General features: G+C 46.7%; 1 protein-coding gene and 1 long non-coding RNA gene across 12 annotated transcripts in view, besides 4 other annotated features; one reads left to right on the top strand and one right to left on the bottom strand.

The window, feature by feature from the left end:
- On the bottom strand, nucleotides 7,793–8,447 carry PARD3-DT (PARD3 divergent transcript). The gene is made up of 2 exons (NR_108043.1): nucleotides 8,414–8,447; nucleotides 7,793–8,095 (listed from the first exon to the last, which is right to left on the bottom strand). It is a non-coding gene; the product is annotated as a PARD3 divergent transcript (long non-coding RNA).
- Nucleotides 8,571–8,620: a silencer, noted in NCBI's record as "silent region_2296". NCBI's record gives its function as "represses an Ori minimal core promoter by ATAC-STARR-seq in GM12878 lymphoblastoid cells {active_cell/tissue: GM12878}" and the evidence as "EXISTENCE:reporter gene assay evidence [ECO:0000049][PMID:35858748]".
- Nucleotides 8,711–8,880: a silencer, noted in NCBI's record as "silent region_2295". NCBI's record gives its function as "represses an Ori minimal core promoter by ATAC-STARR-seq in GM12878 lymphoblastoid cells {active_cell/tissue: GM12878}" and the evidence as "EXISTENCE:reporter gene assay evidence [ECO:0000049][PMID:35858748]".
- PARD3 (par-3 family cell polarity regulator) overlaps nucleotides 8,919–27,331 on the top strand; it is a 705,736-nt gene continuing 687,323 nt past the window's right edge. For all 11 annotated transcript variants that reach the window (NM_001184790.2, NM_001184791.2, NM_001184789.2 and 8 more), the window contains exon 1: nucleotides 8,919–9,339. In NM_001184790.2, coding sequence (NP_001171719.1) covers nucleotides 9,220–9,339 — 120 coding nt within the window. In that variant the 5' untranslated portion in view covers nucleotides 8,919–9,219. The remainder of the gene's footprint in view (nucleotides 9,340–27,331) is intronic.
- Nucleotides 9,401–9,680: a silencer, noted in NCBI's record as "silent region_2294". NCBI's record gives its function as "represses an Ori minimal core promoter by ATAC-STARR-seq in GM12878 lymphoblastoid cells {active_cell/tissue: GM12878}" and the evidence as "EXISTENCE:reporter gene assay evidence [ECO:0000049][PMID:35858748]".
- Nucleotides 14,420–14,714: a silencer, noted in NCBI's record as "tiled region #397; K562 Repressive non-DNase unmatched - State 19:H4K20". NCBI's record gives its function as "represses a minimal TATA promoter and a strong SV40 promoter by Sharpr-MPRA in K562 cells {active_cell/tissue: K562}" and the evidence as "EXISTENCE:reporter gene assay evidence [ECO:0000049][PMID:27701403]".

Genomic DNA, 27,331 nt, shown 5'->3' with positions numbered 1-27,331 from the left:
ACGTGTGCACTCACATATACACAGACACGTGCAGACACTAGTGTGTCCAAAGCAAAGAGGGCCACACTCTCCACTTTCATGGCCACCTCACACATTGCATTCCGTGTTCACTTTAAAGCTTTTGAGATACTTTCCTCTGCACTAAATGTTCTCTTGACATTAATTTTAACCCGATTTCAATTACATAAAACTAGAGGGGACCATGTAATTCATTTTCCAGTATTCTAGGCCCCACGTCACACTAGGAATGACCGTAAGTTCAAACATCCGTAACATAATTTATTCAACCATTACATAATATATTCATCCATTACATAATTTATTCAACCCATGAATTAAGAACTTTTTATGAGCCGGGCGAGGTGGCTCATGCCTGTAATCTCAGCACTTTGGGAGGCCGAGGTAAAAGGATCACCTGAGGTCAGGAGTTCGAGACCAGCCTGACCAACATGGAGAAACCCTGTCTCTACTAAAAATACAAAATTAGCAGGGCGTGGTGGCACATGCCTGTAATCTCAGCTACTTGGGAGGCTGAGGCAGGAGAATCATTTGAATCCAAGAGGTGGAGGTTGTGGTGAGCCAAGATCGCACCATTGCACTCCAGCCTGGGCAATAAGAGTGAAACTCCATCTCAAAAAAAAAAAAAAAAATTATGTACTGATTTCTAGGGTCTCACATTGAATATATTACAATACCTTGGCTCTAATTGGTAGACAAATTTGAGACAAGTAGTGGCTCTCAAACTTCACTGTGCATTAGAGTCACCAGGAGGTCATCCCAAAATATAGATGACCAGGCCAGGCATGATGGCTCATGCTTGTAATCACAGCATTTTGGGAAGCCATGGTGGGATGATGGCTTGAGGCCAAGAGTTCAAGACCAGAAAGGTAACATAGTGAGATCCTCGTCTTTATTTTTTTTTTAAATTAATTTATTTTTTTTGAGATGGAGTCTCCCTCTGTCACCAGGCTGGAGTGCAGTGGCGCGATGTCGGCTCACTGCAACCTCCACCTCCCAGGTTCAAGTGATTCTCCTGCCTCAGCCTCCTGAGTAGCTGGAACTACAGGTGCGCCACCACAACCAGCTCATATTTTTGTATTTTTAGTAGGGACGGGGTTTCACCATGTTGGCCAGGATGGTCTCGATCTCTTGACTTCATGATCTGCCTGCCTCAGCCTCCCAAAGTGCTGGGATTATAGGTGTGAGCCACCTCACCTGGCCTAGATCCCCATCTTGATAGATAGATAGATAGATAGATAGATAGATAGATAGATAGATAGATAGATAGATGAAAGAAAGGCTGGACGCAGTGGCTCACACCTGTAATTCCAGCACTTTGGGAGGCTGAGGCAGGAGGACCACTTTACAACCAGCCAGGACAACATAGGAAGACCCTATCTCTACAAAAAAATTAAAAAAAAAAAAATCCATGCATGGTGGAACACACCTGAAGTCCTAGCTATTTTGGAGGCTGAGGCAGGAGGATTGCTTGAAGCTAGGAGTTCGAGGCTGCAGTGAGCTATGATTGTGACACTGCACTCTAGCTTGGGGTACAGAGCAAGATACTGCCTCCAAAAACAACAATAACAACAACAACAACGAAAGATTTCTGTGGGTTCTGGATCTACCACTGCAGATCTACTGCCTGGTGTTCCATCCAAGTAAACCTCCCCAGCTGGAACAAGCATGGTGCCTCTGCCACGACACTGAGCGAATGAAATTCCAAAGCACCATAGAGAGTTTTTGAAATTGAACTCCCGGCTTAATAGGGTAACTTGACAGAGTGGGGAGGGATGAGTCAGCCATTTAAAATCAGGTACAGGGGATTACTGGGGCTGGATGTGCACTGGTACAGCATACCAGAATTATTACACAGAATGTCAGGGGCCCGGGGCCCTGGGCCTCATCTGAAGCAGCCTCAAAGCCACTCGCCTCCTCTGACACCCGTAGGTCTGGTTCTGGAGAACCTATTGGGAAGAGGACTTTCCTGCTCCAGGTAGGTTGGAGGCAGTGCTGGAGAGGCTTGAGGCTGGAAACCCAGATAGGGCCATCCTTCCTGCCTGCCTTCCTTCCTTCCTCCCTCCCTCACTTCTTTTTCTTTTCTTTCTTTTCTTTCCTCCCTCCCTCCCTTCCTCCCTCCCTTCTTTTTCTTTCCTTCCTTCCTTTTCCCTCCTTCCTTCCTCCCTCCCTCTCCCTCCCTCCCTTCCTCCCTCCCCTTTTCTTTCCTTATTTTTCTTTCTCTTTATTTTCCTCCCCTTCTTTCCTTTGCTTTCTTTTCCTTTCCTTTCTTCTCCTCCCTCCCCTCCCTCCCTCCTTCCTTCCTTTCTTTTCTTTTTCCTTCCTTCCTTTTCTCTCTCCTTCTTCCTTCCTCTTTATCTCTTCTTTCTTTCTCTTTTTCTTTCTTTCTTTTTCTTTCTTTCTTTCTCCTTCCTTCCCTTTTCTCTCTCTCTCCTTCCTTCCTCTTTCTCTCTTCTTTCTTTCTTTCTCTTTCTTTCCTTCTCTCTCCTTTCCTCTCTTTCTTTCTTTCTTTTCTCTCTTTCTTCCTTTCTTTCAGATGGGTCTCACTCTGTTGCCCAGGCTACACTGCAGTGTGCCATCATAACTCACTGCAGCCTTGAACTCCTGGGCTCAAATGATCCTCCTGCCTCAGCTTCTTCAGTAGCTGGGATTATAGGCTCCAGCTGTTTCTCCTACCCATCCAGATTCTTTCAGGATTTGAGAATTTGAGCCATTTAATTTTTTTTTTTTTTGAGACAGAGTCTCGCTCTGTCGCCCAGGCTGGAGTGCAATGGTGCAATCTCGGCTCACTGCAACCTCCGCCTCCTGGGTTCAAGGGATTCTCCCTGCCTTAGCCTCCCAAGTAGCTGGGATTACAGGCGCCTGTCACCACGCCTGGCTACTTTTTGTGTTTTTAGTAGAGACAGGGTTTTGCCATGTTGGCCAGGCTGGTCTCGAACTCCTGACCTCAGGTGATCCGCCTGCCTCGGCCTCCCAAAGTGTTGGGATTATAGGCATGAATCACCACGCCCAGGCATTCTCAAAGTTTTTTAAAGGAGAGAGAGAGAGAGGGAGAGAGAGAAAGAGAAAAAAAAAACTTTTGGTACTTTTTTTTTTTTTTTTTGTCTTTTTATAGAGATAGGGTCTCACTCTCTCTCCCAGGCTGGAGTCCAACAGTGCAATCATAGCTCACTGCAGCCTCCAACTCCTGGGCTCAAGCAATTCTCCCACCTTGGCCTTCCAGGTAGCTGGTACTACAGGCATGCACCACCATGCTTGGCCAAATTTTTAACTTTCTGTAGGTCTTGAACTTCTGGGCTCAAGTGATCCTCCCACCTCTGCCTCCCATGTAGCTGCAATTACAGGTGTAAGCCACCACATCCAATTAACTTTCAGTACCTTATGTTCCTGATAAAGCCATGCCTGCCTCAGAGGGAAGGCAGGATGGACTTTTACCCACCAGAGAATCCTGGTTCAAATGCTGAAATTCCCCCAAATAGCAGCAATCTTACTACCTGCACCTTTGGCTTCCCCCAGCAACCTAGAAGGCCAGCACTCTAAGCCTCACCGAAGAACTTGACTCTGAACTTCCCTCTCAAAGATTAGGCTGAAATAACTGGCATTTATATTTTATTTTATTTATTTATCTTGAGACGGAGTTTCACTCTTATTGCCCAGGCTGGAGTGCAATGGTGCCATCTCAGCTCACTGCAACCTCCGCCTCCTGGGTTCAACTAATTCTCCTGCCTCAGCCTCACCAGTAGCTGGGATTACAGGTGTCTGCCACAACACCCAGCTAATTTTTTATATTTTTAGTAGAGACGAGGTTTCACCATGTTGGCCAGGCTAGTCTTGAACTCCCGACCTCAGGTGATCCACCTGCCTTGGCCTCCCAAAGTGCTGGGATTATAGGCGTGAGCCACTGTGCCCGGCCCTATTTTATTTTTTGAGATAGTGTGTCACTCTGTCGTCCAGATTGGAGTGAAGGGACATGATCATGGCTCACTGCAGCCTCAAACTCCTGGGTTCAAGTGATCCTTCAGCCTCATAGCTGGAACCACAGGTGTTTGCCACTACACCCAGCTAATTTTTAACTTTCGTATAGATAGAGTCTCACTATGTTACCCAGGCTGGTCTCAAACTCCTGGGCTCAAGTGATCCTCCTACCTCAGCCTCCCAAAGTCTGCAATTACAGGCATGAGCCACCATGCTCAGCTAGAACTGGCATTTATAAAGCATCACCACGAAGCACCTCTTCATATCACTGGACTTTCCAAATCCTGCCTCCAGTCAAGGTGGCCCGCCAGAAAGTGAGTGGCTGAGGTGGCTTTATTCCACTCTGCTGCACATTTGTCTTTAACAGAGTTGAGTGTTAATATCACCTGCTCTGCCAGCCTCCACCTTGTTCTGCCAACTTTCATGGACTTCACCAACAAGCTACCTCATTCTTCAGCTCTGGGACCTGGGAAGGAGGGAGATATTTGACTGGGGACTTGGGCTCTGAGTGGTGGGTCATGGCAAACATGGGTGCTTACTTTCTGCAGGGATGGGCCTTTTCTGGCATTCTGAGGCTGGGTGACACCGGGGCTTCTAGAAGTGGTGATCTCAGCCTGGACTCAAGTTTTTGCAAAGTGGGCTCTCTCAGCAGGGCAGTGCTGACATACCTTCCAGCAGTGTCTGGGAACCAGAACAGGAGAACGAAAATGCAGAGAAGGGCCAGGCATGGTGGCTCACACCTGTAATCCCAGCACTTTGGGAGGCTGAGGTGGGTGGATCATTTGAGGTCAGGAGTTTGAGACCAGCTTGGCCAACATGGTGAGACCCTGTCTCTACTATAAAGTATAAAAATTAGCCGGGCGTGGTGGTGCACGCCTGTAATCCCAGCTACTTGGGAGGCTGAGGTGGGAGAATCCCTTGAACCCGGAAGGCAGAGGTTGCAGTGAGCCAAGATCGTGCTACTGCACTCCAGCCTAGGCAACAGCAAGACTGCATCTCAAAAAAAAAAAAAAAAAAAAAAAAGGCAGTGGATACTTTGGTGATGGTTGCTGATGGACTGGTTGAGGGCAACCCTGGAATATTTTGAAGGGGGCTCTATTTGGGCAGGTGAGGACTTGGATATGTATTCCCAATGTGTCATGAAATTTTATGAATTACAAAAAAATTTTCATGAATTTTGACTCAAGACACCAAAGGCTCTGGCATCTAGAATTATGCAGTACTAGTTTTTCATCCATTATTAATATAAACGGAATCACTGCATCTAGATAAACTAGGTAGATTTAAATACAGCTGTAAGGCTTTATCTGGTTGGTGGAATCAGTGTTATTAATCCTCTGGATCATATTTTTTAAAAACATCCATATCCTTATTAGGTATTGAATAGTTAAAGGAATTGATGTACATAAAATGGTATCCACATATCCTGATGTCATCTCTGTTATGAAAGCTTCCCCCTTCTCTAGTACCGCCATAAACACTTTGCTGGCACTGAATATTTAATGTGTTGAATTATAGTTATTGGAATAGCTATCTTATTCTGACCTCTAGATTGTCCTTCTTTTACTCACCTTTATAATTCTGTAATATTTAGCCAGTGCTTCCTGCAAGGAAGGTCTTTACTAACTGCATGTGGAATCAAATTTAAGTGAATTGAGTGCAGGCCTGAGAGTCAGAGCTGGAGTTTTTGGTTGTAGTCCTAGCCCAGTCACTGGAAAGTTGTATCACCTGGCTAGTCATTTCTTTGAGCCTTGGTCTTCTCCTGTCCTCCTCATCTCTCCTGCCTCCTCCACTGTCATCATTTGCTATCCTGTGCTGGACTTTGTTACCCTCTGCCTTCATTACGGTAACTGGACTGTACTACGCTATACATTCCCATGTGGCAGCGTGGCAGCATGTACTGTTTTTTTTTTTTTCTTTTGAGACAGAGTTTCATTCTTGTTGCCCTCGGCTCACCGCAACCTCGGCCTCCTGGGTTCAAGCGATTCTCCTGCTTCAGCCTCCCGAGTAGCTGGGATTACAGGCATGTGCCACCATGCCCGGCTAATTTTGTATTTTTAGTAGAGACGGGGTTTCTCCATGTTGGTCAGGCTGGTCTCGAACTCCCGAGCTCAGGTATCTGCCCACTTCGGCCTCCCAAAATGCTGGGATTACAGGCGTGAGCCACCATACCCAGCCGTACTGTTTTCTGATACATTATTTTATTTAACATTCATAACTTATGACCAGGTGCCGTGGCTCACACCTGTAATCCCAGCACTATGGGAGGCTGAAGCGGGAGAATCGCTTGAGGACAGGAGTTCAAGACCAGCCTGGGCCACATAGTGAGACCTTATCTCTACAAACAATTTAAAAATTAGCTGGGCATAGTGGTATTTGTCTGTAGTCTTAGCTGCTCTAGAGGCTGAGGAAGGATTGCTTGAGCCTGGGAGTCTGAGGCAGCAGTGAGCTAAGATTGTGCCATTGCCCTTTAGCCTGAACAACAGAGCAAGACTCTATCTCAAAAAAAAAGAAAGACTGACTCATAACCTATGAGATCTATGAGATGGATATGGATATGATAAGCTCTACTTCTCTACTTTTCAGCTGATAAAACGGGCTGGAGAAAGAGTGACTGTTGTGTCTAAGGCACTAGTAAGTGGCCAAATATGGATCTGAACCTAGATCAGTGTGATGTCCTATGTACTCTGGTTATTACTGAAAAATGACTTTCGATTAGAATTATTTTGAGAAAGCCCCACTCTAATTTATTATACTCAAGCTAGTATACCCCTCTGAACTAGTGTAGCATCAAAACTAGTATACATTCTCTGCCGCGCGGTGGCTCACGCTGCAATCCCAGCACTTTGGGAGGCTGAGGCGGGCGGATTGACCAGCCTGGCCAGCATGGTGAGACCCTGTCTCTAACTGAAAATACAATAATTAGCTGGGCGTGGTGGCGGGCACCTATAATCCCAGCTACTCGGGAGGCGGAGGCAGGAGAATCATTTGAATCCAGAAGGCGGAGGTTGCACTGAGCCGAAATCACGCCACTGCGCTCCAGCCTGCGCAACAGAGCGAGACTTGGTCTCAAAATAAATAAATAAATAAATAAATAAAAATAAATACATAAATAAATGTAAAAAACACAAAATAAAATAAAGTAGTATACATTCTAAACTAGTAGTATACTCTCCCAATGCATGAAAACAGAAACAACACCTATAATTATCAGTAATTGTTGTTGTGGATCCAAGTATCTATGTAAGAAGCAAAAAACCCACATCAACAGTTGTTGTCATCGTTGTCACAAACTTAATTACTGGCTAGAAATGTCTAGTGCTGCAGCCAAACAGCAGTAGGAGGAGCCTTTCCCATGGCTGAGTGGAAGGAGGGAAACCTAGACTATTTCTGGGTCTGCCTTGAGCTTTCTCTGCCGCCTTGGGCAAGTGACTTTGGCCCTGGGTCAATGTCCTGGAGTAAGATGGGGCTAACACCACTGCACTGATTTGCTGGGACAGGTGGTGGAAAGTGGTGGTCCAGGGCTGGGAGAGGAGAGGAAGGGCAATGTTTCCTAGGAGAAACTGCACTATGCTGGGGCAGCTGCGGTGCTGCAAAGCGCAGGGAGTGTGGCAAGCGGACGAACCTCGTGTCTTGTTTCCTTGTTTTAAGATTGGAGGTGGAGTGGGATGGATGGTCGATCGCCAGCTCTTCCAGCTCTTAAGTGCTCAAGTTCTGCGCCAACCCAGGGGAGCTTGATTGCTTTCACGTGTCTTGGAAACAACTGGCAAAAAAGAATTTCACATAGTCTGGAAAGGGCTTGGGACAGGGACCACTCTTTGCAGACATTTGTCATTCTTTAAACATAATGACATACATTTATTAAGGACTCATAGTCCATAACTAAGACAAAATGAGCTTCAGTTACGTTCCCTAACTCGGTCCACGTTCCTTTAGAACGTCTCAAGCCCGCATGTCACTCATCGCGGAGTCGCAGCCTTCCCCTGGGTTCGGGCGTCTGCGTTAAGCGCCGGCACATCGTGGGGATCCCCGCGTGAGATTTCTCTGCGCCGTCGGAATAGACTGTTCACGGATTCGCGTTAGGATTCCTTATGCTGCAGAACTTCAAAGAAATAAATGTATCAGAATTGCGATGTTTAAGTTCTAATCTATTTAAGCGGGTGGGTCAGCAGAGGGTCAACAGGAAACTTCAAGGTAAATAGTGGCCTCTGGAAAAGGCCCGGTCGCTCACGGCTTCCCCACTGTCTCCCCAGAGCAGACTATTAATTCTTGCGTTTCAGGCAGAACTGCCGCTGCCGGCCCTGCAGCAGAGCTAGGGAGCGGGCAGGGCAGAAACCCAGCCGAGCAAGCTGCAGGCTCGAGTCCCCGCGGGCGGAGAGGCTCGGGCTGGAGCCTCCGGGGCGGTGAGGAGGGGACTCACCGCACTGAGCACAAACTGCTTTCCCCGGGAGCGCCTGCACCCAAAACCCTCCAGTTCGAGGAATGGGATTAAAAGTGACAAAGAAAGGGGAAGGGGGGCTCCGTGGAGACTTCTGGAGGCGTGGAAGGGGCGTCCCCGAGGAGGGGCGACGCAGCCCTGCAGGGTGCTGGGCGGGCGGGGTGAAGGGGGCTGGGGGGCGCCTGGGCCAGGGCTGGTGGGGGCAGACGGCCGCCTGCCCGTGCTGGCACTGGGGCGAGGGGTCCCGCGCCCCCGGAGGGAGGGAGGGAGGGAGGGAAGGAGGGAAGGAGGTCGGCCCCCGAGGGCGGTGGCGGGGGCGCGAGCTGCGGTCCTGCGCTCCGCCCCGCGCGGGTAGCCGGCCGCGCCTCCCCCTGCCGCATGTGCGCGGTGTTGTGTGCCCTGCCCTGCTCCTCCCCCTCCCCTCCCCTCCCCTCCCCTCCCCTCCCGCCGTCCCCTCCCCCAGCGGCCCCGAGCGAGCGCCAGCGCCACACAGCCCCGGGCAGCCGCCGGCGAGCGCGCCGCGACGCCGAACAGGTGGCCGGAGGCTGCGGGCGCCGCGGCGGGGAGAGGCGAGGCAAGCCCCGGGCGAAGCGAGGCGAGGCGAGGGCGGCCGGGCCGGGCATGCGAGCTGAGCGGCCCCCCGGCGTCGCCGCCGCCTGCCCGCGCCCCTAGCCGCCCGCGCGCCCGAGTCCCCAGCGGCTCCTCCGCGCCCAGCGTCCTCGGTCCCGGCCTCGGCTGCTCCGGCTGCGCTCGGCGAGGGGCGCGGGCCCGCCCGCGGCGGCGGCGGCATGAAAGTGACCGTGTGCTTCGGACGGACCCGGGTGGTCGTGCCGTGCGGGGACGGCCACATGAAAGTTTTCAGCCTCATCCAGCAGGCGGTGACCCGCTACCGGAAGGCCATCGCCAAGGTGAGGGGCCGGGGGCGCGGGCGGGGAGGGGGCGGCGGCGGGGACGGCGCCGGGATCAATATGGCGCTTCCTGGAAGGGGGAGGAGAGGCGCAGGGAGGCGGGGAAAGGGAAAGTGCGGCCGGTCGGGCCTCGCGGGCGCCCCCCGCCCCGGACTGCGGGCGCCAAAGTTCTCTGCGCGGGCCGGGGCGCAGCCTCTGGGACACCCAGCCGGGTCCCGCGGCCCCCGCCCTCACCCTCCGCCCGGGAGCTCCGGCCTCGGTAGCGCGGGGCGAGCCGGGCAGCGGCGCATAGGCCGGCCCTGGGCGCCTCCCCGGAGTCTGCAGACCCAGCCAAGCCCCGAGCCAGCGCGCGGGGGGCGCAGGCCGGGAAATCCAGCCCCAGGCCTTTCCCGGCTCCCAGGCCCCGGGGGCACAGGCCGGGGACTGGGAACTTTTGGTGTGAGGAGAGTTTCGTGACTGCCCTTCCGACAGAGGCGGGTTGCGAGCCTTCTGCCTCCTCTCCCTTACTCGGGCGGGGGCGGAACAGCGGCGGGGGGCTTTTCCTCCATGTCCCCTGCTGGTAGGGGCCGGCAGGGGCGGCCCGTCGCGTCCGGGGGCTGCAGGGTTTGGGGAGTCGCCGGCTTGGGGTCGGGGAGGCGTTCCCGGGAGGGCCACCGCTGGCACTTGGCACTCGCTTGCGAGCATTTACTGAGCTGATCCCACTTGCTGGGCTCTGGAAAGCACAACCTTGGAAGAGTCGCGGAATGAAAAGTTTTCCTGCGAGGACCTCAGCTCCTACCTATCCCGGGCTGGTTCCATGTGGCTGGGCTGCGGGGCCGGGCCTGACTTGGGAGTTGAGTGGATTTCCCTTTTTCCTGGTGGACTGATAACATTGTCTCCACTTCACAGCATTCCTCTACTGTGTGTCAGAAGTGAAAAGGCGTTTTGTTAAATTGTTTTACCGACTGTGTCTGTGTTTGACAACAGCCCACGCTGAAGTTTCTCCCAAGCACCCGGGGATATATTTCCTTTGTAGTAGAGTCCTCTTTGGTGGGGAGCGCATTCGTTTGGGTGCAGTATTTCCCATTTGTTCCCGACAGTGGCCTGGCCCCTGTGGGCTTGGGGGCTGCAAATGACGTTGGAAAGTGGCTTGGTCAGCCCTATTGAGCGTACACAGGGTACTCCGGTGGCATCTTCAGTTCTCTCAGAAATTAAGAAGTAAAAGCTTTTTAGACTTTTGTTTTGCTTTTAGTATATATTGGAAAAAATAGCATAAATTTGGCCTTTTAAAGATAATTTTGGGGGACGTTTGGAGACCCGACACAAGGATGGAAGACGTTGGCTTTAGTAGCTCTGTTATGTTCCTTACAGTTGAACTCTTTTATTGAAAATCAAATAAAATTAGTGGGAATTGGGCACCTGTTTATCTTGCAAAGCTGACAAAGGGAAAGAAAACCATCTAAATGGACATTTAGCATTTTTAAGTGTTGTTTATGTGTGACAGTTTATGCTTTAAATGTTCCAAAAGAGTACTCAAATTGTTCAGGCACTCTGGAAACCAACAAAACAAATTGTGCAAGGAAAGAGAAATAAAGTAATATGCACTCTGCAGTACGTCTAGGCTCCTGAATAGGAAGAGGGTGGTCAACATTTTCTTTCACTTTACTAATTTTATGTGATTAAAATTGTTTTACCTACTGTGTCCCATGTTTCATCCTGCACAAAATAGACATAGGCTGAACTGCCTGTTTGGCAGTAGTTCAAATGTAGTTGTTCCAGGCATTCGTTCCACAGAAATTCTGAAGCTTTGACTGTGTCCATGGCACTGTTCTGGGTGCTGGACATCTAAGGGACCCACTGGCTGTGAGAAGCTGAGCAAGAGGCTGCGGGGTCCTCCAGGTGAAGGAGCTGGTGATGACATGGGGAGAAGAGGTGGCCTCTGGGATGCTGGGTGGCTAGAGTGCAGGGCCTTGGTCACGGACCTGGTCCTTATTAACGATTAGCAGTGGTTGTTTCACAGGGCGTAGAAAAGGGAGTGCAGTTTTTTAAGGGTGTCTGGGAAGGTGTCACAAAGAGAAAAGGGGCCTATGAGCTGAAGGAAGGGAGGGTGATAGTGACATGGGAGTTGGAGATGAGAGGGAGGGTCAGAGATGGGTCAGGGGTTCCAACACTTACATGCTCTTTAAGTACAACTTAGAGTTCTGTAGGTGAATTTTAACGGGGGCTTTGCAGTATACCAAGTTCAGTCATTGGATCCCAAGATTGTTGACCCTTAAATGTTGCCAGAGCTGGAGTGTCTTCTAGGTCTCCTTTTTCTCGTTTTTCTTCTGAAATTGCTAGACAATGATTAAGATTAATTTTTAGTCTTTCTTACTACTTTTCCCATTCTATATTAAGTGATGAGGAAGTGTTAATATGTATTTAACACTGTTTTAACTTTTATTCTCTATCTGTTCCTTATCCGTATTGCCTAATAGAACAAGAGAAATTCTGTGTGAAGAATTGGGTGGCTGGATAGTTGTGGAGTGGTGTTTAGGTTGCTAGGTGACATGTGGCTTGATGAGCTCCCATCTGGTGGGGAAAAGTGTGGGCAGATCATGTTTATGGCTTTGGATAATAACCAACCAAGCCAAAAATAAAAAATAAAAAGGAAAAGAGAAAGGTCCCAACTCTCAAATCACCAAGGCTTTCTCTGCAGTAAACATTTTCTGGTGTGGTGGGGCTAATTTTCTGGCATTGCATGTGAGCTGTTTTCTCTTCAGATTACACAAATCAATTTTTCTGGATAGTGAAGTGTCATGATTTAATACTAGACATGTCCTCAGTGAGTAGATATTTGAAGGCTTATGCTTAGTCATGTGTGACATTTCTTTTTTCCTCTCCTGAAAGATGGTTTTGTGGTTGTGATCACTGATGGTTGGGAATAGCTGTTCATCCTCATCCACCCATCTGCATTAGGAGCCTCGCTGAGGACAGTGCGGTGCTAGACATTGGGAACCGCGTTACATGGACCGTTCTCATGAGGGCGCAGGATGGGAGGATGGACCGTGTCTGCATCTGTTCTTCTGCGCTTGCGACCTGACACGCGTGATTCCAGGTGGACATGGTGCTGAGCTGCAGCGCTGTGTGGGGTTGGTTGAAGGGCTGCTGTGTATAAAAAGTCATGCTCTATGAAAAAAATATAAGACTGAATTCGTGCAATTTTCAAAAAAAAGTATAATCTAGGAGACAGGAAGAATATATAACAGTATAAATAACAGGAGGTGGTAGCATTAATTGGCACCACTGTGATACAGTCAGTAATCGCTTCTGGATTTTGGAGGTGGGTGCTATCATTATGGGGTGTGTGTGGGAGTCTCATTTAGTCACTAGGATTTGAACTGGGCTTGGTTGGTGGGAAGGCTGACCTTGATATAGGGCAGTGCTTGCTAACTGGGTGAGGCACCTGCCTGCAGGGGCAGATGGGCTCTGGGTCTGAGGTCTGCAGTTGGGGTCTAGGTGTGTGAATCTGCAGAATGTCTGCTACGATTCTGATAAGTGAAAGGGAGGGCATTCCAGGAAGGCAGTATGGACAAAGGCGATTCAGGCATTCAGCCCAGGGGGTCAGGATCAAACTGAGGAGGACAGAATGCCAGGGCAAGACCCTGAGACTTCGTGCAGTAGGAAGGACTGTGGTGTTTAGCTAAGAGTCAGGGTAACAAGTAGTTCTAGGAGGATGACCTGAGCAACCTTAGATGAGGTTTGGATGGATAATTCCTTAGCATTTCATTCTAAATAAAGGTTGCTGAGTGACCAAAAGGGGAAGGAGAGAGTGAAGGGCAAAAGTGAGGGCAAGGAGGTGCTGGAGCCCCTTTGCTCACTGTTCCCACCTCCCTCATAGCTCTCCTCTCAGCCTGTAGGGGAGCTTTGGATTGGGTTTGGTGACTTAGGTTTACAAGCCATTTAACCTTGGGTATAGGGGAGCTTTGTATTGGGTTTGGTGACTTAGGTTTACAGGCCATTTAACCTTGGGTACACCAACCCTACGGAGCCCCATTATCTCAAGTGGAATATTCCCTGGCAGGGTTAATGTAAGTATTAAACAGGATGATGAGAGGGAAACTCTAAAGTCCTGGGCCCGGCCCATACTAGCTGCTCCGTAAAGATGAATGGAATCACCAATATGTTTTATCCACCAAGCAGTTTTACACCCAGGGAACTTTCCCAGGTGTCCCACTATTGCTGCTTGGATTTTTCCTGTTTACTTAAAAACGCAGCATGTAATTTCATTGAAGGATAGGTAAGAATGTGAGATTGAATGACGTGCAGCACCACAATCAGGAGAACAAAATTGTGTGTTGCATGTGTGTATGGGCTGGGGAAGTAAAAGCTGCGGGTATTGGCTTGATTACAGGTTGATTATTGGGGCCTCTGGCTTCTGTCCCCAAGCACATCACTTTAGAGTGATTTAATAGCAACCTGTTGTTATTACAGGTTGAGCATCCTTTATCCAAAATACTTGGGACCACACAAGTATTTTGGATTTTTCTGGACTTTGGGATATTTTTGTATATATAATGAGATAGGTTGAAGATGGAACCCAAGTCTAATGTATTGTTAGAATTTATGTTTCCTACGTACCTTATACACATAGCCTGAAGGTAATTTTATGCAGTATTTTTGTGCTTGAAAATAAGTCTGTGGTAAGTACTTACATGTGGAATTTTCCAGGTGTGGCGTCATGTGGGTGCTCAGTAAGTTTCAGATTTTGGAGTATTTTGGATTTTGGATTTTTCAATTAGGGATGCTTGACCTGTATTTTTTAAAAAGTTGAGCTCATGGACAGAAACTTTTGAAAATGTGCTTTTTTGGTGGCGGGAGACTGTTGATTAGTAACAATGACAGTCATGGTTTTTATGAAAAATCTTGTGGTTGGTATGGAATTTTTCTGTGAATAAATGTATGACTGCATGTTATTCATTTACAAGCGTATTGAAACTTTTAAGAAAATAGTTGTACTGTTGCAGAGATTGAAAGAAAATAGAGGCAAGCATAAAAATAGTGAAATGAAAGCAGCTTTATTTATTTATTTATTTTTTTAACATTTTCTGCCTTCCCTCTAAAAAGGAAAAAGAAACTAAACATTTTTGAAAGGCTGATCTTTCCAGAATTCAAGTCACATTGTCCTCTGGTGCTGAAGCGCCTTTGTCCCGCGTTCTCCAAGTCCTGCCTTCTGAGCACAGCCTGTCCCTGTAGGGACCCCTCTTGCCTTCCAGCCACTCCCTCTGCAGCTGCTCCACCCCCTGGGACTCACATACACTTTGCTGCCTCTGTTCTGGCATTTTCTGTTTCTTCTGCCTGGGACATTTGCTCCTTCCTTGCACTCATTCGTGAGTCTTAGCCCAGACAGCCATCTCCAGGAGGCTGGCTCTCCATCCCAAGCTGCTAGAGGATCTTTCTCCCTGCCTGCTGCCTCTCCTGGGGACGTCCTGGGTGTAGCTCCTGTACCGACTCAGATGCTTGGGCTGTGCTGTGTGGTTTTCAAGTGTATCCGTGCGCCCTTCCTCCCTCCGGGTGAAATGCTTGAAGCGGTGGCTGAGCTTCAGTCTTGGTGAATAGCCCGTGTCTGTCACATTGCAGTCAGAATGTTGAGTAAATAGAAAGCTGAGAATCAACATGTTACACTGCTCTCACACAAAAAATACACTTCTGCTGAGAGGACTATCATCAGCACTCGTGAATTTAAAGGACTTTAAGGTTTGGTGTGTTTGACCTACTGGCACAAACAGCTTGTAATGGAAACTAAGATTTAATGAGGTTTGGAGTACTTGGAAGTTACTCTTTCGTATCAGCTGTCTTGAGGGAGTTCAGTTTGTTTTTCAGCTCAAGCAGAGGACCCTCCTGGGATTCGCCTTGGGCGAGGTTCAAGGCAGGTGGCCAGGGCTGTGTGAGAATCTGGCCCTGGAACACACCTATGCTTGGTCTGGCGCCTCTGATTCCGTCAGTTGAGATGCTTGGCTGAGTGCCAGGACTAAGTAGGAATGTTTAGGATCTGAGATTCTCAGAGAGAATCTGGCGGATGTGAAGCGCTTCTTGGCTTGTGGTAGACATGGATAAATTGGTTGTGGAGGGAATATTTAAAGTCCCACTTGGATGCAAACCCACAGACGGATCCTCCGTCTGTCCTGGGAGGTTCTACCTCCCCACAGAGTTGGGTGCAAGTTGGTGATGTTGAGCTCCCCATAGATGATTAGAGCCCTCGGTATTTTTTATCAAGGATGGAAATAAACATGTAAGATTGGGCCAGAAGGTGCTTTCTATAGGTAATTTTCCATCGGGGGAGATGGCATGCTAAGCCCACACAGCATGCTTTCATCCTGCTTGGCCACTCGCTCAACATTCCTGGCTGGGACCAAGGTCAATGGCAGTAGAGCTGGACATCAGTAAATGTATACAGTTTTACCTGTTTTGGGTACCTTTTCTGTACAAAAGCAAATCTTTATCAAAATAAATGCCGAGTTCAGTGAATAAAGTAGAAAGATGACTGATTTTTTTTTGTCTTTTAGTCATTATTTACAAGTTTTTTCTTTCTTTCTTTTGTTTTTTTTGAGACAGGGTCTTTGTCACCCAGGCTGGAGTGAAGTGGCGTGATCTCTGCTCACTGCAGCCTCAACCTCCCAGGCTCAAGCGATCCTCCTGCCTCAGTCCCCCAAGTAGCTGGGACTACAGTTGTGTGCCGCCACACCTGGCTAATTTTTGTAGTTTTTGTAGAGACGGCATCTCGCCATGTTGGCTAGGCTGATCTCAAACACCTGAGCTCAAGCAATCCACCTGCCTTGGTCCTCCAGAGTGCTGGGATTACAGGCACGAGCCACCATGCCTGGCCTAAATTTTAGCAAATAAGTAAAAATAACTTTGTTTTAACTTATTTAGTAAATAAGTAAACATTTTAGTAAATAAAGTTAAAATAACTTTCGTGTATAGGTCTGTGCCTTCTTGCATCTGGCCTGCTATCTTTACGTGGTTTTTGCCATTTAAATATTACTTTTGTGTATTCCTTTTTTCTCCATCAACTCATATTGGTCCTTGCAAGTAAAATTTCAAGCTCCACATCCAAGTGACTTTAAATATCAATTATTTATTTTTTTCACCTAAACAGAGTATATTTTGTATATAGTCTCTGTACTCTATTCTGTATATATTTTATATATACTCTTTATATATATACACACACACACAAGCACACAAGAGAAATGAAAATGTGTACACAAAACCTGTACATCAGTGTTCATAGCAGCAAGCCCACATATTGTATAATTCTGTTCCTATAACATGACCAGAGTGGGTAGCTCTATAGAGACAGTAGAGTGGTGTTCCGCTAGGACTGGGAGTTTGGAGTCATGGAGACTGTGAATGGGTATGAGGTTTCCTTTTGGGATGATGAAAATATTCTAAGATCATGGTGATGGTTGCACAGTTCTATTCAAGTGTATACTTTCAATGGATGGAGTTTATGGTTATGTGATTATATGTCAATAAAGATGTTAGAAAAATAGACTGCATAAGCCACTATGAACAACGCTCCATTTTTAGGTATTTTGTAGTTCTGAGCATTTCATAAAATGACATATATATGTGTATCAGAGATGCTCAAAACACTTCAAATGAAAACTGGCTGTCTTTAGGAGTTTTCCATATAGTGTGGAATCCCTGCTTTCTCAGGCCTGTCCAATGTGTCCTGTTTAGTGTCTGGTAAGCTCCTGGCTGCTGAGCCTCCAGGTCCCCTGGTCTCTGTGTGCTACCCCCTACCCCCTCTAAGGGCTTCACCAATTGTTCTTTAGCCAGAGACTCCTTCTACCCAGCTCGCCAGCTACCTTTGTGCAGTGGAGGTTGAGAATGCCCCAAGGATGCACGTAATGGACCAGCCTTTCCAGCATTTGGCTTTGGCTCCCAGAAATTTTGAGCTTTGGCAAATCTTACAAGCTCTGTGAGCCTCTGTTTCCCCATGTTCTCATATTCAGAGGTGCTGGGCTGGACTCCCACTGCCAGTTCCCTGAGCTGTGCAGGGACTCCTGCTCTGCATGGTTTGTTTTGGTGCTCATGGGACCATAAGTGATGTGCAGTGGCTTTTCAGATGGTTATACAGGGTCCAGGACCTCTTACTGCTTCCCTCCATGCTGTGAGAATATTTTGCCTCACCCCGACCCCCCCAACTTTGAAATGACGGGGCTTGCTCTCCAGGTCAAATGGATGCTATTCAGAGTTAGGGTAAATTTTGCTTAGGGTTGGCTGGGTGAGAAGGCTCACGCCTGTAATCCCAGAGCTTTGGGAAGCTGAGGTGGGAGGATTGCTTGAGGCCAGGAGTTCAAGACCCAGCCTGGGCAACATAGTGAGACCCCGTCTCTTTTTAAAAAAATTAGCCAGGCATAGGCCGGGTGTGGTGGCTCACGCCTGTAATCCCAGTACTTTGGGAGGCCGAGGTGGGTGGATCACGAGGTCAGGAGTTCGAGCCTGGCCAAAGTAGTGAAACCCCATCTCTACTTAAAGTACAAAAAATAGCTGGGCATGGTGGTGCACACCTATAATCACAGCTACTTGGGAGGCTGAGGCAAGAGAATCACTTGAATCCTGGGAGGCAGAGGTTGCAGTGAGCCAAGATAGCGACACTGCACTCCAGCCTGGGCGATGGGGAGATTCATCTCAAAAAAAAAAAAAAAAAATTAGCCAGACATGGTTGTGTGCATCTTTAGTCCCAGCTGCTCAGGAGGCTGACGTGGGAGGATTGCTTGAGCTCAGGAGTTTGAGATTGCAGTGAACTATGATGGTGTCACTGCACTCCAGCTTGGGTGACACAGCGAGACTCTGTCTCTAACAGAAAAAAAAAATTTGTCTAGGGTGTCCTTCAGAATTTCCTTCCTTCTTCCTTTTTTTTTGTCTTTTTGAGACGGAGTCTCGCTCTGTCGCCCAGGCTGGAGTGCAGTGACGTGATTTCGGCTCACTGCAAGCTCCACCTCCTAGGTTCACGCCATTCTCCTGCCTCAGCCTCCCGAGTAGCTGGGACTACAGGTGCCCACCACCACGCCTGGCTAATTTTTTTGTATTTTTAGTAGAGGTGGGGTTTCACCGTGTTAGCCAGGATGGTCTCGATCTCCTGACCTCGTGATCCGCCTGTCTCAGCCTCCCAAAGTGCTGGGATTACAGGCGTGAGCCACCGCGCCCGGCCCCAGAATTTCTTATTGTCTCAAGGTAAGTATCTTTTAATGTAAATCACATCATGCTCAGAAGTGACTAAGACAATTCCCTTTGTGAATTACAGATGTATGATATTGCATGATACGAACTGTACGGTGTATATATATATATATATATATATATGCACATACGTGTGTATTTCTGGGGTGATCTTTTATGGTGGTATAAATTTAAGTCATTTTAGAGATGATAGTCAAGTCAACATTCTCCCAATCTTGGTGTTTTTAACTATTCAGACACTGTAAGATTTAAGGTTTTGGAACTCAGATGTATATTTTTCTAGTGTCTGGTTTTTCCCTTCTTGTATTTGAGACGGAGTCTCACTTTGTTGCCCAGGCTGCAGTGCAGTGGCAGAGTCTCGGCTCACTGCAACCTCTGCCTCCTGGGTTCAAGCGATTCTCCTGTCTCAGCCTTCCGAGTAGCTGAGATTACAGGCGCCTGCCACCACACCTGGCTAATTTTTTGTATTTTTAGTACAGACAGGGTTTCACAATGTTGGCCAGGCTGGTCTTGAACTCCTGACCTCATGATCCGCCCGCCTCAGCCTTGCAAAGTGCTGGGATTACAGGCGTGAGCCACCGCGCCCAGCCTTTCCCTTTTTGTTGATTGTACCGCATCCCTTTAGATTAGAAAACTAATCTATGTTATAGGGTTTATATATTTCAAAAAGCCTCTTTGAGATAGACTACACTAAAAATCAGTGTTTCCTTCTTCAACACTTAAGAAATCAACTTGATATTATGTCTCAAAAACCTAAAATTGCTAACCAATCAAAAGATGTGTATTAATATTAAAAACACAAAGAAAGGAGTGTTGTTTTTGTGTTGGTGGTATATATGAGACTAGATTTTTTTGTTCAATTTCTTTTACATAGACAATACAAATTGGAAAAAAGTTTTTATGTCTGTGTTTTAATTTTCTTCTCTAAGTCCAATGTTAAGTCCAAAATTAAAAAATAAACTCTTTAGAAGTCTGAGGGACAAAGGAAAAAAGAAAACTCTTCCAGGAAACGTATTTTCTTATACCACAAAGGCATTTAACATGTGTCATTTATAATGCTGAAACCCAGTGTGCAAAACCATATGTGAATAATGGTTAGCCAGATTCCTGCCCAGCAGGGTTATACTCTAAACTTGGATTTCTTTTATTACAGACAGCAGCACCTGCAGAAGAAGGAGGTAAAATGTGCAGGATATTGGTTCCTGATGTACTACAACACAGGATGTGACTAATCACTAAATTCATTAATGTTGAACATAGGATTTGGTACCTTTACCACTTTGTTAGAGATCTGGAAAAAAAATCTTCTAGACAAATCAAGTTGATCTTGGCCAAGTGCAGTGGCTCATGCCTGTAATCCCAGCACTTTGGGAGGCCAAGGTGGGCGGATCACTTGAGGCCAGGAGTTCAAGACCAGCATGGCCAACATGACAAAACCCCATCTCTATTAAAAATACAAAAAAATTTAGCTGAGTGTGATGGCAGGTGCCTGTAATACCAGCAACTTGGGAGTCTGAGTAGTGAGAATGGCTTGAACCCGGGAGGCAGAGGTTGCATTGAGCTGAGATCGTGCCACTGCACTCTAGCCTTGGCGATAGAGCGAGACTTCATCTCAAAAAAAAAAAAAAAACAAAAACAAATCAAGTAGATCCCTAAGTGCATCATTTGGATTGATAACTATTTTTTACTGCATCTGGAAGGTGGTGGCATTTTAGCGGTTGTCATGTTGAGGAATATGAAATAAATATATTTTAAATTATGAAAGCACATCCTATCAGGAATATTTTTTCCAAGGAAACTTGCAATGCTAACAAACTCCTGAACTTGATTATTGTTATTTTTTATTTTTATTTTTTATTTTCCGAGATGGAGTCTTGCTGTGTCACCCAGGCTGGAGTGCAATGGCGCGATCTCGGCTCACTGCGACCTCCACCTCCTGGGTTCAAGCAATTCTACAACCTCAGCCTCCCAAGTAGCTGGGATTATAGGTTCCAGCCACCACACCTGGCTAAATTTTTGTATTTTTAGTAGAGATGGGGTTTCACCATGTTCATCAGGCTGGTCTTGATGGAGTCTTGAACTTCTGACCTAAAGTCATCCGCCTGCCTTGGCCTCCCAAAGTGCTGAGATGACAGGCATGAGCCACCGCGCCCGGCCAACTCCTGAACTTTCTATGGTGGAGTCATTTTTGTCTTTTACGTTTTAAGACTCACACAGATGTTTGCAAAAACACCGTTAGCTGAAAGTGGAAAGTTTGGTGATGGGTATTTTGCTTCTAGGAAGCAAAAACATCAGAGTGACACATCATGGATCAGGATTCTGAAGAGGAATCTCTCCCAGACATTTATGGAGAGTTAAGAGAAGTACCTTTGTGAGCACGTGATTCCTGCCTTCTATTTTTTTTTTTTTGTTATTATTTATTTTTTTGAGACGGAGTCTCACTCTGTTGCCCAGGCTGGAGTGCAGTGGTTTGATCTCGGCTCACTGCAACGTCCGTCTCCTGGGTTCAACTGATTCTCTCACCTCAGCCTCCCAAGTAGCTGGGATTACAGGCATGCACCACCACGCCCAGCTAATTTTTTTTTTTTTTTTTTTCATTTTTAGTAGAGACGGGGTTTCATCTTGTTGGCCAGGCTGGTCTTGAATTCCTGACCTCAAGTGATCCACCCGCCTTGGCTTCCCAGAGTGCTGGGATTACAGGTGTGAGTCACCGTGCCTGGTCGGGAGTCCTACCTTTTAATACCACCTGCTTTGTGGGGTTGTTGTCTGGGTTCAAAGAGAGAATGTGAAAAGGTATTGTAGGAGGCCAGGTGGACTACATGTTAGCCGTACTGTCCCTTTGTTTTTACCAGGAGTGTTTGCCAGTGATTAAGTCTCACTAGAATAGGCTTTTCTAAATTGTTTTATCTCATCCTCATTAGAACTTCACCACATGTGGGAAATCATGTGGCAAAACTGTCTCTCTTAAAAAAAAAGTCACCAAGGAAACCTCCTTCTGCAATTTAAGAAATAAAATCCCAGTGACATTGATTTGGATGCTCCAAACATGTCCATAATGGAAGAGCTTTTCCAGGTTTTGGTTTGGGCCCCCCAGACCAAAGCTTTGACACATAATACAAGCTCTGTAAGTCTGTTTTCCTGTCTGTAATTTGGGATTGTCATCTTTGTAGGGTGTCATGGAGATTAAGTTATTCACTGTAGACAATGCCCCTTTCATGTAATAGATTCTGTCAGTATTAGATCTTTTTCTTTCTCTTCAAGTTTCAAACATAGATTAGGCAAAATTTTAATGGCTATTTCACAAAATCAGCTTGATTCTTGTTTATGACATCAAGTGTTGTTTTTCCAGGTTGTCTGTTAAAGGGCTACTTTTTTTTTTTTCTAAAAGTGCTTTAGAAATTCCAGTGTTAGTATGTATGCATCATTTAGCTAAGAATGAAGATATAAAGATCACCCAACAGTTTAAGCTGATTCTTTTACAGGTCAAGGAGAATTGTGTTTGTCTAGCTGTCTTAGCCGTGTAGGACTTTCTACTTGTTACTTCCTAAATAATTGCAGCCGCAACACTGCTACTTCAAAGGAAATTACATAAATTTTATTTGCTGTATTTAAAGTACATTAAAAGGCATCACTTACACATTTTTCATTAAAAATACTTTTAAAACTTGGAAAGGATAAAAGTATAAAATGTAAATACTGTCTGTATTAATAAAATGCAGAGATGTTTTAAAGGCCTTTAGTGTTTATTAACTAGTAATAGTTCTGAGAATACCCTGGAGCTCAAATAGATAATCTGTGTTATAAAATAAATGGGAAAGTTGACATTTTTGTGACTTTTCTAATCCTTACTATATAGGCCTCTATAATTCATGTGCCCATAACACTTCTTAAGATGTGATTTTGGGCATCTTAAGATGGTGATTTCGGGCAGCTAAATCAGCAACAAAGGAACACAGAACATCTTTTGCTTAGGTAGGTAGTTGTAAGGGTTGACAGATTGATGCAACTTTTAATACTTTAGTTTGGCTAAAGGCACCCAGTGCAAATCACCTGAAGACTTCACCCAGGAGTTGACCTATTTATCATACTAAATAGGGAGTGGCGTCTTGAAGGCTCATTCACATTCTGGGCTTGGCAGGCAGTGCGATGAAGTCAGACTTGCAGTTATCAACACCCTGGCTTTGTATTCAAGAGGACTACCTCCTCTCATCCGTCTTTTTCATACCACAGTATTGAAGGGGTTGTTTTCCTCTTTGAAGACCTTAAACATCTCATTAATTAAAGTAATGCTTCTTCCCTCTCCCCATATGCATTTAGGGAAGTCGCTAAGCAGTGATTGAAGTAGTAAAGCTTATCTAATGGCACAGCACTCCTATTTTGACTCTGATCCCTTCCTGTATTTATTTGTAAACATTTTTTCATGTGAGTGTGTTTGAAATTCCAAGTTTTAGTTTCCTACAGGATGTGAAAAAGACCTAGCAGCACGGGAGATAGGAATGTATTTTTGTGCGTCTGTCTCTTGCCTTCACGCTTCCCCTTTGTTTTTGTGCTTTGCTAATGGAAGTGATGAATGGTGCTTTCAAAAACTTTCCAGAATACTCAAGTGTTTTATAACAAAATTGCAGAGAAATAATTCGGAGAATTTTTGACAGATCTTAGAGTGTTTTGATAGGGGGGATTTTAGTCCGAGGCAGAAGAGTTTTGGCCCTGCATTGTTTCTTTACCGATGAGAAGTGAAGCTGCTTTCTTTATAGATTCCGGGGAGTGGTATTTTCAGCTCAGTCTCTGCTTTTGGTGTTAGAAAGCTTTTTAGGTCAGGACTCATGATCGAAAGCTCTTGCATAAGAGGTGCTTTTATCAGGGGCATTATTTATCTGCCTATTAGTTTAGGAGGTTGTTGGGAAGGTACCGTTTTAACAACAGTGAAACCTGTCACTTTTTTTTCATTCCTAACTTACTGTGAAGGAGTCTCAGACAGCAAGGAGGAGATCCAGGAGACAGTGGTATCAGAAAATGGTAGTATTACCATTATTATTTTTTATTTTTTGTTTTTTTGAGATGGAGTCTCGCTCTGTCACCCAGGCTGGAGTGCAGTGGCATGATCGCGGCTCACTGCAAGCTCTGCCTCCCGGGTTCAAGCAATTCTCCTGCCTCAGCCTCCCGAGTAGCTGGGATTACAGGTGCCCACTACCACGCCTGGCTAATTTTTTGTATTTTTAGTAGAGATGGGGTTTCACCTGGTTTATCAGGCTGGTCTTGAACTCCTGACCTCAGGTGATTCGCCTGCCTCGACCTCCCAAAGTGCTGGGATTTACAGGCCTGAGCCACCGTGCCTGGCCAGTATTAACATTATTATCAAGAGTAATGGTAAGCACTCATGGCACATGTTGTATCAGGCCCTATGTGCTGGGGTCAGTGCTTTATGTGTATATGTTAATCTCATGGAGTTGTGATATTGGTGTAATCCAGAGTTTACAGATGAGTAAGCTTGGGCTAGAGAGGATAAGAAACTTTTTTTTTTTTTGGGAAGTTGCACAACTGAGGGTCTTGCTCTGTCACCCAGACTGGAGTGCAGTGGCATGATCATGGCTCACTGTAGCCTCAACCTCCTGGGCTCAAGCATTCTTCCTGCCTCAGCCTCCCGAGTAGCTGGGACTACAGGTATGTACCACCTATGCCTAGTTAATTTATTTTTATGTTTGTAGAGATGGAGTCTCACTGTATTGCCCAGGCTGGTCTTGAACTTCTGGGCTCAAGTGATCTTCCTGCCTCAGCTTCACAAGTAGCTGGGACTACAGGCATGCGCCACCACACTTGGCTAACTTGTTTTTTTTTTTTGTAGAGATGAGGTTTTACTTTACTGCACAAGCTGATCTTCAACTCCTGGGCTCAAGTGACCCTCCCACTTTGGCTCCCCAAAGTGCTGGGATTGCAAGTGTCAGCCACCGTACCCAGCCGGCTTGGCTGCCTTTGGCAGACTCTAACTTCAGAGCCTGCACAGTGAGTTGCTATACCATGACAAACTGATGTGCATTTTAAGATGCTGCAATTCCATAAGAAAGAGTAAGTGATCCCGCGGGAGAAGAACAGGGTTTTTTCCTGACTTGGGTTTGCTTGAATGGCTTATGGGTTCAGGGAAGAAGTGCACCTTTGGGATCAGCTTCAGGCTAGTGAGGGTAAAAAAGGTGCATGGCTAGCTGTCAAAGACCCTTGCTTCTCTGGTGTGGCCTCTGGGCCAGCAGCACTGGCATCTCTTGGGAACTTGCTGGAAATGTACAATCTCGGGGCCCATTCTAGACACCTCCGTATAGGAATCTGTATTGAGGCTGGGCATGGTGGCTCCCGCTTGTAATCCCAGCACTTTGGGAGGCCGAGGCGGGTGGATCACCTGAGGTCAGGAGTTCGAGACCAGCCTGGCCAACATGGTGAAACCCCATCTCTACTAAAAATACAAAAATTACCTGGGTGTGGTGGCAGGCACCTGTAGTCCCAGCTACTCGGGAGGCTGAGGCAGGAGAATCGCTTGATCCCGGGAGGTGGAGGTTGCAGTGAGCCGAGATTGCGCCACTGCACTTCAGCCTGAGTGACATCCCCAGTTGGTGCTAGAGCAACTGCTCTTAACCTTGGCAGCAAAGGTTTTAGAATGTTGATACCTAAGCTCCATATAAACCAAGGGGGTGAGGTCTCTGGGTCACGTTTGGAGATTGGTGTTTCTGTAAAGCTCTTCAGGAAGCTCTTCAGGTGGTTGTCTGTGCAGCCGGGTTGGAGGACTCCTGGCCCAGGCCAACCTCCAGACCTTTTGGAGTTGTTGCATTATGTGATTTGCAACCCTGCTCGCCTTTGGACTGTGCATGGAAATTTCCAAAACACAAGTTGAGATGATCAGCCAGCATGCTCAAAGGCTGGTCACTTGTGTGACAGTGGATCAGCCTGTATGTGTGGGTTTTTTTTTTTTTTTTTGGAGACAGAGTCTCACTCTGTTCCCCAGTCTGGAGTGCAATGGCGACATCTCGGCTCACTGCAACCTCTGCCTCCCGGGTTCTAGTGACTCTCCTGCCTCAGCTTCCTGAGCGGCTCGGGTTACAGGCACCCACCACCACATCTGGCTAATTTTTGTATTTTTAGTAGAGATGCAGTTTCACCATGTTGGTCAGGGTGGTCTTGAACTCCTGACCTCAGGTGATCCACCTGCCTCAGCCTCCCAAAGTGCTGGAATTACAGTTGTGAGCCACTGCGCCCGGCATGTTTTTTTTTTCTTCTTCCTCTTCTCCTCCTCCTCCTTTCTTCTCATTTCTTCTTCTCCTTTCTCCTTCTCCTTCTCCTTCTTCACGGGACAGGGTTTTGCACTTGCTGTGTTCCCCAGGTTGGAGTATAGTGGTGCCATCAATAGCTCACTGCAGCTTCAAACTGCTGGGCTTTGGTAATCTTCCTGCCTCAGCCTCCTGAGTAGCTAGGACTACAGGTACATGCTACCATGCCCAGCTCATTAAGCATTTTTTTTTTCTTTTTGTAGAGATGGGTTCTTGCTAAGTTGCCCAGGCTGATCTTGAACTTTTGGTCTCAAGTGATCCTCTTGCCTCAGCCTCCCATAACACTGGGGTTATAGGGGTGAGCTACCATATCCAGTCTGTATATTTTCTTTGTGTCTTTGTGTGTTTTCTTTTTTGAGACCGAGTCTTGTGCTGTTGCCCAGGCTGGATATATTTTCATTTTTGACTTTTGAAGTCATTCAATTCTCCTGCCTGTTAATTTTGTTGAGTTTTATTTGTAGAAACAGAGACAACACATGTGCAAGGTCATCCTTAGGTTTTAGCTGTTGACTCTAAATGATGTCTAGTCTAATAGCCACTTCTACTAAACAGAAATTGGTTAAGGAAGGGCAGTGAGAGACAGCACGGGGGAGTTGTAATGAGATGGGGGAAGGAAAGGCCAATTTGGATAAAATATATGAGTTATCCTTTGAGCCAGGTTATGTCCTCTGGGTGTTTGTATATATAGAAACCGGTCAACTATGGTATTTGGTTTTGGGTAAAGCAGAGATGAGGGCTTCTGAGTAGTGGACAGAATACTTCTCTTGCAAGAGTTGCTTTTCGAGCTTGTTTATGGATACACATCCATTTTTATTGGATGGAGCAGTAGTATTAGAGAAGACTGTTGGCACACTTTCACAAAGTAGGTAAGGGATTCCTTTTCTACATGTTTAGACTTTACTTTGGCCAGGTGCGGTGCCTCACGCCTGTAATTCCAGCACGTTGGGAGACTGAAGTGGGAGGATTGCTTGAGGCCAGGAGTTGAGACCAGCCTGGGCAACACAGTGAGACCCTGTCTCTACAAAGAATAAACATAAATTAGCCAGGCGGGATGGCATGCACCTGTAGTCTCAGCTACTCGGGAGGCTGAGGTGGGAGAATCGCTTGAGCCCAAGAGTTCAAGGATGCAGTCAGTTATGGTTGTGCCCCTGCACTGCAGCCTGGGTGACAGAGCAAGACCTTGTTAACCACTTACTTAGCTCCTTGGAACAGTCCCACTGAACAAGTCCCCTCATGACACCAGATTGCCAGTGGGCCTGGCTGTTGTTGGCAAATATAAGCTCCTGGTTGTGCTGCCTCATGAACCTAACCATGGGTCTGACAATTTTTATGTCCATGGATTGATTTTATTTCATTTATTTTATTTTTTTTGAGATGGAATCTCGCCCTGCCATCCAGGCTGGAGTGCAGTGGCACGATCTCAGTTCATAGCAACCTCCGTCTCCTGGGTTCAAGTGATTCTCCTGCATCAG

Source organism: Homo sapiens, chromosome 10 (assembly GCF_000001405.40).
Source record: "Homo sapiens chromosome 10, GRCh38.p14 Primary Assembly".
NCBI lineage: Eukaryota > Metazoa > Chordata > Mammalia > Primates > Hominidae > Homo > Homo sapiens.
This window is presented reverse-complemented; position numbering and strand designations above follow the sequence as displayed.